The sequence below is a fragment of the Homo sapiens genome, chromosome 3, assembly GCF_000001405.40.
Source record: "Homo sapiens chromosome 3, GRCh38.p14 Primary Assembly".
Lineage (NCBI taxonomy): Eukaryota > Metazoa > Chordata > Mammalia > Primates > Hominidae > Homo > Homo sapiens.
In genome coordinates this window covers 129,490,813-129,503,453 of record NC_000003.12, presented here as the reverse complement: position 1 = coordinate 129,503,453, position 12,641 = coordinate 129,490,813, and the positions used below count along the sequence as shown (strand labels likewise).

The window sequence follows — 12,641 nt, the reverse complement described above, 5'->3', positions numbered from 1 at the left end:
TCTGCCAGCCTGAGGCTGGCCACCTTTCTCGCTGACCTGGCTAATTCTTTACAGCCCCTGACACCAGAGAGAAGTAGTGGTTGTGGGGTGGGGGCAGAGAAGGGAGGGAAAAAACTGGCCCCTGAAATGGCTCTCACAGTCTGGATCTGGAAAGCACAGATGGTGCTTTCTGCCAAAATGCTACCCAGCAGGTTTTAAATGTCACGCAGGTGCATCTCCACATCAGCCATGTGTCTGAGCCTGTGGTGCTGGTCAGAGGCAGCTCAGCCCAACAGCAGGCACTGGAGCTGTCGTGTTCACACTAACATCCCCGGTGCCTGTCACCACCCTGGCAGAGCTGGCTGTCAGTAACGATTTTCTCAATGACTGAATGAAGGGACAAGTGGAAAGGCCCTCCACGATTCTGTGGCTCAGAGAATTCGAGGTTAAGTTACCTGACTGCCAGCCCAATGTTCCTTCCATCACGAGGGCAGCTTCTCTCCATCTGAACCCCAAAGGGCCCCTGTACCCACCCGCCTGTGTCCCAGGGCTCAGGTGGGGCCCCAGCCCATGAGGCCTGCTTTCCCCTCACCTCATCCCAGCGCTGGGTCTCCACGTGCAGCTGCACCAGGGACTTGAGGTCACCCATCTTCAGGTAGGTCTCAGCAGCATAGCCAGGGCTGTCCAGCTTCTTGAGGTAGGTAGCGCACAGCAGCAGGGGCTCGCGCTCAGCCTTGTCCAGTTTGCGGGCGATGTCGATCAACCTGGAGAGGGAAGGGGCAGGTAGGAGGGTGGGCTCTGGGTCTTGTCAACGGCAAGCCGTATGTCCATTCATTCTGTGGTCCCCAGTGTTGATACTATGCCATGGCCCATGGGAGTTGCTCAGTGGGTAGTTATTAAATGCATGAATACACACTCCAGAAACATCACCAGGATCTGGGAGAGGTGGCCTTTACAGGATCCTGTCAGCCACCTTGTGTGTCTTTCTCGGAAGTCACTGAGCTATCCAGCAGGGTATAGAAACAATTATCTCCTAATCCCCTACCAGGTACCCAGATGACGCCATGAGCTTTCCCATGCGTGAAATCAGAATCTTCACCACCCTAAGAGGTGGGCATGATTATTTCCATCTCTCAGATGAGAAGAATAAAGTCTGTGGGGAAGGTGAAGCACCCAGCCCAAGACTGGGCCCAGCACTCTTTCCACCACGGGTGCAGGAATTCTCACGGAAAAGTGGATGCCAAGGCATAAGAATACCTCAATGACTGCCCTCTAAAGGAAGAGGTGAGTGTGGGGCCTGCTCTGAGCTCTGGACAAAGGCCTGCAGGAAGTCTTCCCTGTCCTCCTGGCCAACGTGCTGACCAAAGAGGGAGGAGCTGCAGGGACCCACTGGCTCACCACTGCTTCCCCATGGTGAGCAGCCCTCCCATCACTCATGGGGACATGAGGCCTGGATAGAATGCGCTTGTTCTCTCTGGTCAGGCTGGAATTTGGAGTCAAACTAACTCTCCCAGGAGAAAGGGTTCTACCCAGGCTAGTCTTGGTGAGAAAGGAAGGAGAAGCAGCTGTAACGAATCCCTGTCTGGAGACAGGCAAGGCACGGAGGCCTGTCAGTCTACACTTAGAATAATAATGGCATCTAAAAATAACACTGCTCAGCAGAAAAAGGACACGTTTTTAGGGAAAGGTGGCATAGACAGCCCTTACAGCCTTAGAAACCTTCCCACCCATCACACCCAACGTCCCTGGAGGAAAGACACCTTTTATAGCCACATCTGGAAAGCAAGCAGAACATGCTTAATGTGTTTCTTGAATTACTCAAGTACCCTCAGGGTAACCTGATACTATAGCACTTACAAATGAAAGTGACAAGAAAAACCAGAAGAGAGAACAGAGCACCCTAAATCTGCCTGGCTCTCTTCTATATGAACCCCTTCATTTAAAGAATAATGTGGGGAACAAAATCTGTGCCTCTGTCTTTAAAAAAATTACTATCGGACAAGAAAAAGATGGGGTGGTAGGACATCCATCAAGGTCCCTTTGTGAGGGGCCCACACACCAATTATTAATATATGGCAGCACCCAAGGAAACAATTTAATCATTAACCAGCCTCTTCCATATCCCCAAATCCTGGCTGGGCCACTGCTACCTGTAGACCACAACGTTGTTTCCAGAAGAATCAACAGCCTTTAGGACCCAGCCTGAGCCACCCTCAGGAGCTTGTCCCATCGTGTCCTTTGCCTACCGCAGCAGCATGTGCACGTGTGTGTGCACATGCTTGAGCCTGAAGCTCACTGACTGGGAGGACAAAGCCTTCCCCCTCAAGGTCCGGTGTGCTGAGTCCCAAGGCTGAATCCATCCTGTCTCAGTGCTGCCCCACCCCAACCCCCTCCTCTCCCTGTTGTCCACCTTGACGAATGGTGTAACCCACCAGCAGCCACAGAGCAAAGCCAGCCTGACACTCACCACTGCCCCAACACCCTGGGATGGGCCACTTGGTTCTAACACTGCTACTTCTCTCTCATGCCCTCAGCTACCAAGTTCCCTCCTGCTCTACTGCACTAGCCAGTTATCTGGTCTCCATTCTACCTGCCTGCCTGAGGGGGTGTCTGACTGTAGGTGGTCACTCACTATTGGCAAATCTAAGCACCTCCGTTTGGCATCGGAGGCCCTTCCAGTGTGGCCAGCCCACTTCCCCCAACCCACAGCCCATGTCCTTCACCCTCCCATTCCCACACGTCTTTTATTCCAACCAGAGCCAACTCGCTGTGTTTCTGCTGTACTTCCTGCCTGCATATCCTTTCCCGCCATCTCTATTTACCTCTTGGAATTCTTTAAGGTCCCTTCATGGAAAGAGTGTCTCCTAAGAGAAGATATCCATGGTTCCTCCCATAAGAATTCTTCCCTGATGGATTTGGAACTTGTTTTGTTTTTGTTCCTACCATTACACGCGTAGTTGGCATCGACATCCAGCAGATCAGAGGCTAAAGCTCAGCTCTACAACTTTCCAGCTATCTGGACTTTGGGAATAACTTGTCCCTTTAGCTTCTGTTTCATCATCTGCAAGGTGGGCGAGGAGACACCAGCCCTGATGGCATAGGTGGAAAACCTAATGCCTGGAAGGTTATCACAGCGTCTGGGTTGTAGTGAGCGCTCAGCAAATGGCAGCTGTGATGTCCCGGTGTCTCCTCTTCCCTGGTCCCCACCATCCCTTCCCCTAGTGACTCCACAAGCTCCTGGAAGGCAGCCACTGCCTTGTGCAATCTCTGTGTCTCCTGAAGAACCTAGCCACTATCACATTAGCTTTAGATAATTAGAAAAGCACTATTGGTTCCCTTGTCAGTCAAGAGGTGACATGTGATGACATGCTGCCAAATGCTTCTCGGGGCAGGGACCAAAACCTACATGTCAACCCAGCCATGGTCACCACAGATCTCGATGGCCTTGACGTGCTCTCCTGCTGAGATGTACATCTCCACGGCGGCTTTGGGCTCCTTGATATTTCTGGCCCAGTCAGCCTGTTTGGTGATTAGCATCTTTGTTTCTTTGGGGTCTCCAGATCCAAGGAAATCCTGAGGAAGCACAACAAACAAAAACACTCTGGATCAGAACTTCCTGTGCCAGCGTTACATCAGGCTTTTCTAGCAGCAAGGGCGGGCTCCACATGGCTGAAGCAGGCAACCAGGAGGTAGGCAGGGCCCGGCCCTGAGGGGCTGAGTTGGGGGAGTCCCAGGTCTCGGGAAGAGTGATCTCAGGCTGCCCTGCAGGTGTTCCTGGGGGATCCTGGGACAGCATCAGGGACGCTGGCCCCCAGTGCTTCCTTCCCGTCTCACAAATGGGCATTTGTTCATCGGCTAAACAACACTTTCTAGACTATTTGGGGCACTGCACATGAAGTCTGCAGGGTCGGGGGTTCATGATCAGGCTGTCTCTCTCTCACATAGTTTGGTCAATACAGGACTGTTCCTAAACAGCAATGAGACAACCTGGTGCACAATTCCACATATCGAGACCTGTCATCTTATTCAGATCATATGGGTGATACCACATGCTTCAGAGTGAGGCTGAGCATGGGTTCCCCTAAACTTACACAAACAAAATGACTTACAGTGTTTGCCGGCCCTCCGTGCCCTCCATGCCCTCTCTGAGTCACCAGCAAACATTCTGTGCCCTGAACTAGAGAATCATCACATTGTCTTTGCCCCAGTTACTTTCCTGGAACAGATAACAAGCAAACATCTCTCTGGTTAGTTGCTTCTCAGCTGAATGGTTAGGGATCCTGTGCTGAGGTCAGGTCTGCAGGGGTGAGAACCTGATCCGACAGTGGGACAGCAGGAGGCCATGGGGGAATCTGAGGCAGGGAAGGTGCTCAGGAGAGGACCTGAGAAGGAAGAGATGGCTGTGGTCCTGGAGGCTCAGAGATCAGGCCTAGGGCCTGTGTTCCTTCGGCCTCAGCATACCTCTGAAGTGGTATGCCCAGCTTCTCTGGGCTGGCCCTACAATGTGTGAGAAACAGCCTCAGAACACCACCTCTTTTCAGAGTAGTTACCCAAAATACACACGTGGGAGTTTGCCAGAATTGAGGCAGCTTTTAAAGGTGGAGCTTTTCAAAAAGGGAAACTGGGAGCACTTACAGCCCAGGTCTATGTTACTGGTAAGAAGTGGTTTGTCTCAGGAATAATGTACCCTGTGGAGAGTACTTTGTGTCAGCCTCACTGAGAACAAAAAAAGCACTCCTTTCCCCATGATTAACACTCATGTGTCAGAAAAGTACAGTCAATGTATGCTAAAAATCCACTTGAACAATTAGCTCGCTTTTTTCCCTCATTTGCTTTCAGGGTAAATGTGCTTTCAGAGTATTAGGTCGGCCTAATATATGATACATTTTAAGAAGGGGAGGAAAGCGCATTGTATACCCTGATGCTGGGACCCAATAGAAGACAGGCCCCCTGGCTGGCCTTTGGTTCTCCCTGGAGCTGACAAAGGGAAGGGGCTTGGAAAGCAGCCGCTGTCCCCGCCTAGTTTGGGCCTTTACAGACACACCTTTCCTTCTGGCAGCTGCTATGGCGCGGATTCTCTATGCCAGCACGAAGCTGGAAACCCTGCCTACCTGGCTGGTGAAATGAGGGTGGCAGCTGGAGGAAAACAGGCATCTTAGGAGACTAGAAATGTCCTTCAAAGGGACTTCAGTGAGTGCTCAGGGGACCAGGGGTGACCACGGCAAGGGTGAGAGGCTGAGAGGGAGCCATAAGCCTAGGCCAGCTGGTCACTCAGGGAGCTGTGACTTCATTGAAGCTGGGTCTAAAAGCTTCCTTCAAGGCTCAGCAAACTGGAAATTCAAAGGCTTTTTGCTTTCCTGAAGCTAAGTTACACATTATCTGGGGCCATGGCAAAGACTTGGCCCTGAAGTGGACAGAAAGAGGCTGTGCTGAGTGATGAATGAGACTAAACAGTGTTCTCATGCTTGGTGATTTTGATAAGAACATACTACATAAGAGTTAAGAGCATTATAATTCCCTTTATCACCATATAAACATGTCACTTATCCAGAAAGCATACAATTTATTTGTACGTGGGAATGTAATTTTAAAATTTTCTGAAAACCAGATTGAATCTTGGGAAGCAATTTTCAAGTAAACAAAAATATGCCACGTTAATCAGGACTAGATCTCCCCCACCCCCCACATAATGTGTAGGTACATATTTCTCAAATTCAGACTACCAGGTGGGGGCAGGGGGGATTGAAAAGGAACCAACCTCCTTGGAATAGTGATCAAAAACTAAAACCAAAAACAAGTCCCAGAGTATTTACCTTCATAGAGAGACGGAGCAAATGGAGTGTGTAAATGGGCTGCAGTTCTGGTGGGAGGCTGTGGGCACACGAAGTCCACCACAGTGTAAGGAGGGGCCTCAGAGCAGGGGCAGGAGTGGGGCCAGCCAGGGAGAGAGGTATGAAAATCCACTCTGTGGTCACGTGTGGCCCCTCTCATCTTCCTAATCTTTCTACAGGTTGGCATTTCTAATGCGCTTTCCTATACATTATTCTGTGCAAATCTCATGACTAAACTGAGCTGTCGCTATTACCATCTGAGAAGGGAAGGGAGGTTTGGCAAACCGAAGAGCCTTTCCCCAGGTCATCCCACAGAAAGAAACTGCACTCACACCAGCTCTGGGGCACCAAGGCCAGGCATTTTATTATTTTTTTTTGACATGGGTCTTGCTCTGTCACCCAGGCTGGAATGCAGTGGCGTGATCTTGGCTCACTGCAACTTCCACCTCTGGGGCTCAAGCAATCTTTCCACCTTAGCCTCCCAGTAGCTGGGACTACAGGCACCAGCTAATTTTTTGCATTTTTGGTAGAGAGAGGGTTTCACCATATTGCCCAGGCTGGTCTCGACCTCCTGAGCTCAAGCAATCCACCCACTTCAGCCTCCCAAAGTGCTAGTATTACAGGTTTGAGCCACCATGCCCAGCCTGGTCAGGCATTTTCTACTGCAGCACAGCTGCCTCCTTGAGGAGGCCTCAGGGGTTCCCAACCCTAAATTCTACCTCTAGGGTCTTGATCCCTTAAGGGTTCATCCTGAGTTAAAATTTTGTTATCCCCGGAAGCAGAGATGCACTGACTCTGGTGATCTCAGTATGAATGTGTTATGAAATCTTCTAGGTGTCTTTGGTGGGGCCTGAGGGAGGGTAGGAAAGGTGACGAGGAAAAAGTAGAGGGAGCCTGAACACCCTGGGTCTCAGGTACGGAGTGAAGAAATCACTAAGGTGAAAAGACAGGCTGGGGCCCAGGAGCTCGTCCAAGTCCTGATGAACAATAGGTCCTGGGCAACATCACAGGCCACCAAACACACCTTCAGCCCCAGGGTCGAACAGGTGGTGGAAGAGCACAGCCATCTTCAGGAATAGAAAAGCAGAAAAAAGTGGGGAAGATTTTCCATCTTGAACTTGTGAGCTGGAGAACTACCATTAGTAGCCCACCAATAGGTTATGGCTGATGAGTCACTTCATAACATACTGAGAGCCACTTTTGACACTTCCAGAAAAGGCAGGTTAACAAAGCCCCTTGATGGAAGGAAGACCCTCATTGCCCAGTGTACCGAAGCCTCTTTGAACCTTGCTTAGACTGAACTGCAAATGTCTTGACTGCTCTGGGCTCCTTAGTGCAACTCCTTCCCACAGAAGCCATCAGGAGCCTGGTCCAGGAAGCTCCTCTCCTACACCTGCCTTAAAAGGCCCAGCTCTGCTGGGGAGTAAGGTTCATGGGGGCCGTCCCAATGCAAAAGGGAATCTCTGCCATCACCCACTGCAACCACATGGTAGCCACTCTGCAGCCGGCAGGCGTGAGGCATGCTGCGCTAACATGGGAGGGCGGAGGCTCTGCCTGACTTCCCAGAAGCCCAGTGAGAAGTCCAGGACAATCAGCAGGTGCTATGGGAAACTTGGCTGGCAGGCACCATGTCGTCCTGCATGATCGGCAGGACCGGCTCCTGCCTGAAGACACCGATTCTTGGCGGCTCCTGACAAGGATTGAGAGGATTTGTGGGGGACAGCCCTGAAGCCCTGAGCCCTCAACTCAATGAAGGGATTGTGCTGGTGTAGACCCACAGCCATCCAGCCCTGTCACTGATGAAGGTCTGAACTGCCATAGTCTGCCCCCTTGGTGTCAGCCTTAAAGGTCAGTTTTAGGTGAGTTTCAACCAGTGGCTGTAGATGGGTCCTTTGTTTACCAGTTTCCCCACATCCTTTCTGAGACCATTGCTAGTTTTTGTCCGCAGCACTCTTGGGGAAAATAACTTGGACACCGCACGTGAGAATACCAGTGGGCTCCAAGCTGGAGCTTGGGCCTGGGACAGGGTAGGTTACCTTGGCATACTCAAACATGCAGAGGTCGGTGTACATTTCAAGCGCGAGGTTCTCGTGCCCACTCCTCTTGTACAGTTTGGCGGCCTCATGGAACTTCCCCTGGTAGGAAAACACATCTGCCAGAAACAGGTCATTGTTGGTCTCTCCCCGCTTCTTCCTCTCCTGGAAAAATTAGAAGCAAAGGAAATGGCCTCTGCAGCCATGGGCAGGAAGCAGCCTTTACAAAGGTTAGATGTGGCTATTTCAAGTGAGGCCCCTGGGCCTTCCTACTGGAACCTGGGCTTGGCTCCTGGCTGTTGTCTCTCTCCCCTAGGTTCCCGCTGGGAAGGCTTGACAACAAAAGCAGGCTTTTACCAGACAAGCAAAGATCAAAAAAAGATGCAAACCTTTGTTTGTTTAATGGAAATTCCTCAGGGTTGCTTTCCTGTGTATTCCAAGGCTATGACGGAATAGTTTGAATAGTGTGTGCTCTGACTCATCCATGACCCCTAAGCTCCCAAGATCTCCCAAATCCGCAGGCCCCGTTTGGCAGAGTTGTGGCTCATGGGGATGACAGAGCAGGAGAATGTTTAGGGTTTCTGCCCAAGAGGGAGACCAATAAAATAGGATGACAAGTCTTACGATATCCCTACTTCTAAAGAGAAGGTAAGAAATCCCGCATGCTGAACATCCACTAGGTTCTGGGTATATACTTTATACACACATGGCCCCTTTATTCCTCTCAGTGACCCTCAGGGTAGGTCTCACTACCCAAGTGTTAGAGTGAAGGACGCTGAGACTCAAGAAGAGGAACAGGTCAGGGTCAGACAGAGCTGGAATTTGGACGCAGTTCTGTCTGACTCCAGATATTCCTTGTATCACACAATGTAGTCTTTTGAAGCAAGTGATGTCCCCAACAACACACACACACACACACACACACTTAGCACAGCTAGGATAAAGCTTCTTCCTTCTGTGTCAGGGAACATTCGCTTGTCTACAGCTCGAGTATTTGTAAACACTCAGTAGCACCCAAACCCTGAGCCCTAGCAGTTTCCTTTTGCTTGTTTTCTAGAAAGAGCAGCATATTGGAGGACGATAAGACATTGAATCAAACTCTTAGACAAGCTGGTGAAAGTTTTAACAGCTGGAGGCAACATGCTTCCATACTGACAGAAATTATCATTCTAAAAACCTGCACACAGCTCAGGCTCATCAAACAAACTAACTCCTAATAGTTGGAAATGAATTGAAATCTTGCCGTGAGATAAAAGATTGATTTTGGCTGGACATGGTGGCTTACACCTGTGATCCCTACACTTTGGGAGGTCAAAAGAGGAGGATCACTTGAGCCCAGGAGTTGTAGGCCAGCCTGGTCAATATAGCCAGACTCTATCTCTGCAAAAAAAAAACAAACAAACAAACAAAAAAGGTTTTACTAGACATGAAATTCAGGCCATATCCATTCTAGGCCCCAGGATATCACCATGACCAATAAAAACGATCTATGGCACTCAGCAGGTGCATGTCAACATGGGCAGGTTCTTTCCCCCCGTCAGCAGGACAAGAACATCTCCCCTATCCAAAAGGCACCCACTAAGGATCTGCAGTTCTCTGGAATTATGCTGAGCACCCAGATGTGTGCAAATAAGTCTGCAGGCAGTCGATATAGAGCACACTCAAAGGCACTTTACTTTTTTTCAAGAGACAATCTTAGGAGTTTACTTTAACGCACTTCCCAGCTCATAGCATACGAGGAGAGGACTACATTTTGACCCCAGTAAGATGTGACAAGTAATAGTTGGACCCCACAGCAGTTACTTTTGTAGAGAGGAAAATTATGCTCCTTGGCTTCAGGTGAAGACCCCCAGATCCAGGCCAGTGGATTTACAAGTGAAAGTCAGCAGCACTGGGCATTTTGAGCAATAGCTCCGAACAAGCCCTTTACCACGCGGGTAGGTAAACCCCAGAATATACAGATGCCCCTTACAACACGCGGGTAGGGAGGGTATGTGGCCGAGAGAGCATGAGCTTAGGAAATAGACTGGGCTTGAATTCCACCAAGTTTTTGGCTATGGACCCATGGGGATGTGGCATCGTCTTGCTGAGCCTTAATTTCCTCCTGCATGGAATAGGGAGAGCAACAGTACCTGCCTCATTCAGTTAATGTGAGGATCTAGAACAGCATTCACATAAATCACGCATGTGGCACAGAGCAGATTACGTTATGAGGCTTAGCAGGCTGTGAGCTCCTGTCAGCCTCTCTCCTCCTCAGCTCTGTGCCCACTGAGCTCGGCACAAGGGCTGGCCCATGACAGGTGTTTATTATGGGGAAATGAATGAGAGGGACAAGACATTTGCTATTTCCTCACTGTTTCCAACTGGGAATTCAAATGTATCTCACATTCCCATACCTTCACAATAAATATGTTCAGGAGAAAAAATGTATATGCCTTTTAACAGACAGCCAGACAGCACTGAGATACACAGAAATTAAGAATAGTGTCTAAGGGCCGGGCATGGTAGCTCAAGTCTATAATGCTAGCACTTTGGGAGGCTAAGGTGGGCTAATAGCTTGAGCCCACGAATTTGAAACCAGCCTGGGCAACATGGGAAAACCCTGCTCTAAAAAATATACAAAAAATTAATCAGGCGGGGTGGCACATGCATGTGGTCCCAGCTACTTGGGAGGCTAGGTGGGAGGATCATTTGAGCCTGGGAGGTCTATGCTGCAGTAAGCTGTGATCGTGCCACTGCGCTTGAGCCTGGGGAACAGAGTGAGACCTTGTTTCAGAAAAAAAAAAAAAAAAAAGAAAAAAAAAGCATAGTGTTGACCACCACCCAGCAAATGGCATACCTACAACCAGCTTCCTTAGCACACTGCAGGCCTATTGGGTTTGGATGACAAGGTCAATATTCTCAGCCAGAAACAGTAGGGCTAGGGGTTGCTCCAGAACTCTGGGGCGCTCAGTTCAGACTGTGGGCCTTGCTCCCCAGGTCCATTTCTGGGGAATGGAGCTCAGCTCATGTGCATTTGGGAAACTCCTCCAACACTATCAGATTACTGGAGTCTGAGAGGATGGTGACCAGCTATCCGCCACCAGGAGGATGCAAACCAGTTCCTGAGAACCTACTGAATCCTCACAGCAGCCTGTGAGGTAGGTCCAATCCCTTTTCACAGACTAGAAACCCAACCCTGGAGAGATCCGGAACCCATGTGCCTCACCCAGCTATCACACAACAGCTCACACTACCTGCTGTTGTCTCCCCCAGTGTGGCCACTCTGCCCCCGGAGCAAGGCTGTGGCCCAGATGCCCAGACGCCAGTGAGCTCTGTTCCCATGTCCTCAAGGCTCTTGCCTGTTAGAAGGGCTGCCCCTAAAACAGGAACCCCAAGTATGCCTTCTTGAGAAGGAAAAATGCTTCATCTTTTACCTCAATGCTGCTGATGAGCTCTAAATATCGGAGGTCTTGTACTCTGATGAAGGCCTGTGGCGAAGAAATAAAGAATAAAATAAGCTGTCTTCTTGGCTTCAAAAGTGGGTGATTGGCTAGGGGTGGGAAGTCAAGCTCTATCTAGACAGTGAGCCACAGAGGAGAGGAAGGGAGCAAGCACAGATTAATCATCGTGCGTGCAGGAGGTTATACCACCCAGCGAGGCATGGCTTTATCCATGGGATTGGACCATGTAAAGAACAGCAAAGACATCCCAGTTGCATCAGTCATTTTGAGATCAGGTAAAACAAAACCGTGATGCCACAGTCTGTGGCGGTGCCTCCTTGGGAGACTCTAGACCCAAAGAAGAACAAGCCGGTCTGACCCTCTGGGGGGTCACGCAGCATCACAGCAGGAGAGGATGAGATGCATGGACTGATGAGAGACTGCCTATACATCTTGGCAACATGGGTAGAATGCAGGGGACAGCTATGCCTACCCAGTGGTGCCACAGACACAGGGGACCCAGAGCCCCTGGTACCACAGAGGGAGCAGAGGAGGGGAAAGCTGAGAGGGTATAAAGACAGATTCTGGAAGAAGGTGGAGGGGTAGGGAATGAATCCCACCAAGTCTGTGGAAGGCAAACTCTTTATGTAAACCCTAAAATTGCAGCCCTTGCCTTGAACTCACAGTAAAGCCAGAGACTTTAACTCATGGACCTCTAGAAGTTTCTGAGGAACAAGCAGACTGGTGTTAGCTAAGCTAGTTTTGCTGCTTTCAGATTCTGCCCAGGGTTTGGAGGAGCACAAGCCACCAGGTCAGGCTGCTTTCAGGTGGCTTTGCTGTCACCATTTATTGCCCCATTCAAAATGGGCTGACCTGTGCCTAGAGGAGGCAGCAGCTCCAGAGCCCTTTGAACTGAACACGCAGAGCAATCCTGACCACTTGCAGCCTCTGCTCAGCAGCATGGCATCCTCCCTCCTGAAAAGACCTCGGGAGATGAGCAAGTCCCCGGCCTGCCTTGCAGGTGACCACAATGCAACTTTATCTTTTCATCCCACAGGACCAGGCTTCCTGTCAAGAGACTGAGGACCCAGGGAGAAACATGTCTCGGCCCCTGTCCCCCTCCACAATTCAGAGGTCCACATTCTAACAGGGAAAGCTGGTCAATTAAACAGATCATGACACCTCCCAGAGCTAAGAGCTCTCCAACTACGAACCACATGCCTGGAGAACACGGATGAATGGTCTGAGCATGAGCAGGGGTGGGAGGCAGCGTTAAGGGAGGCATCAGAGTCAGAACCTGGCAAACAAGTGTTTGTGAAGAGGAATTCGTAGAAAAGGGCAATGCGGGCATCACATGGGCCAAGGAACACAGGGCT

General features: G+C 50.2%; 1 protein-coding gene across 26 annotated transcripts in view, besides 2 other annotated features; it reads right to left on the bottom strand.

Moving 5' to 3' along the window:
* IFT122 (intraflagellar transport 122) overlaps positions 1-12,641 on the bottom strand; it is an 80,284-nt gene that overhangs the window by 17,054 nt on the left and 50,589 nt on the right. For 18 of the 26 annotated variants that reach the window (NM_001280545.2, NM_052985.4, NM_001280541.2 and 15 more), the window contains 4 exons: positions 11,260-11,313; positions 7,847-8,008; positions 3,386-3,552; positions 572-743 (listed from right to left, as the gene is read on the bottom strand). In NM_001280545.2, the coding sequence (NP_001267474.1) occupies positions 572-743; positions 3,386-3,552; positions 7,847-8,008; positions 11,260-11,313 (555 nt within the window). The remainder of the gene's footprint in view (positions 1-571; positions 744-3,385; positions 3,553-7,846; positions 8,009-11,259; positions 11,314-12,641) is intronic. The other 8 variants (XM_006713691.4, NM_001410809.1, NM_001410811.1 and 5 more) reach the window with 1 other exon arrangement.
* Positions 7,556-8,755: an enhancer, noted in NCBI's record as "CDK7 strongly-dependent group 2 enhancer chr3:129213542-129214741 (GRCh37/hg19 assembly coordinates)". NCBI's record gives its function as "activates an origin of replication core promoter dependent on BRD2, BRD4, P300/CBP, MED14 and CDK7 cofactors, with strong dependence on CDK7, by STARR-seq in HCT116 cells {active_cell/tissue: HCT116}" and the evidence as "EXISTENCE:reporter gene assay evidence [ECO:0000049][PMID:35650434]".
* Positions 7,777-8,649: an enhancer, noted in NCBI's record as "OCT4-NANOG-H3K27ac-H3K4me1 hESC enhancer chr3:129213648-129214520 (GRCh37/hg19 assembly coordinates)". NCBI's record gives its function as "activates a minimal SCP1, AML or CMV promoter by ChIP-STARR-seq in naive H9 embryonic stem cells {active_cell/tissue: H9 hESC(naive)}" and the evidence as "EXISTENCE:reporter gene assay evidence [ECO:0000049][PMID:30033119]".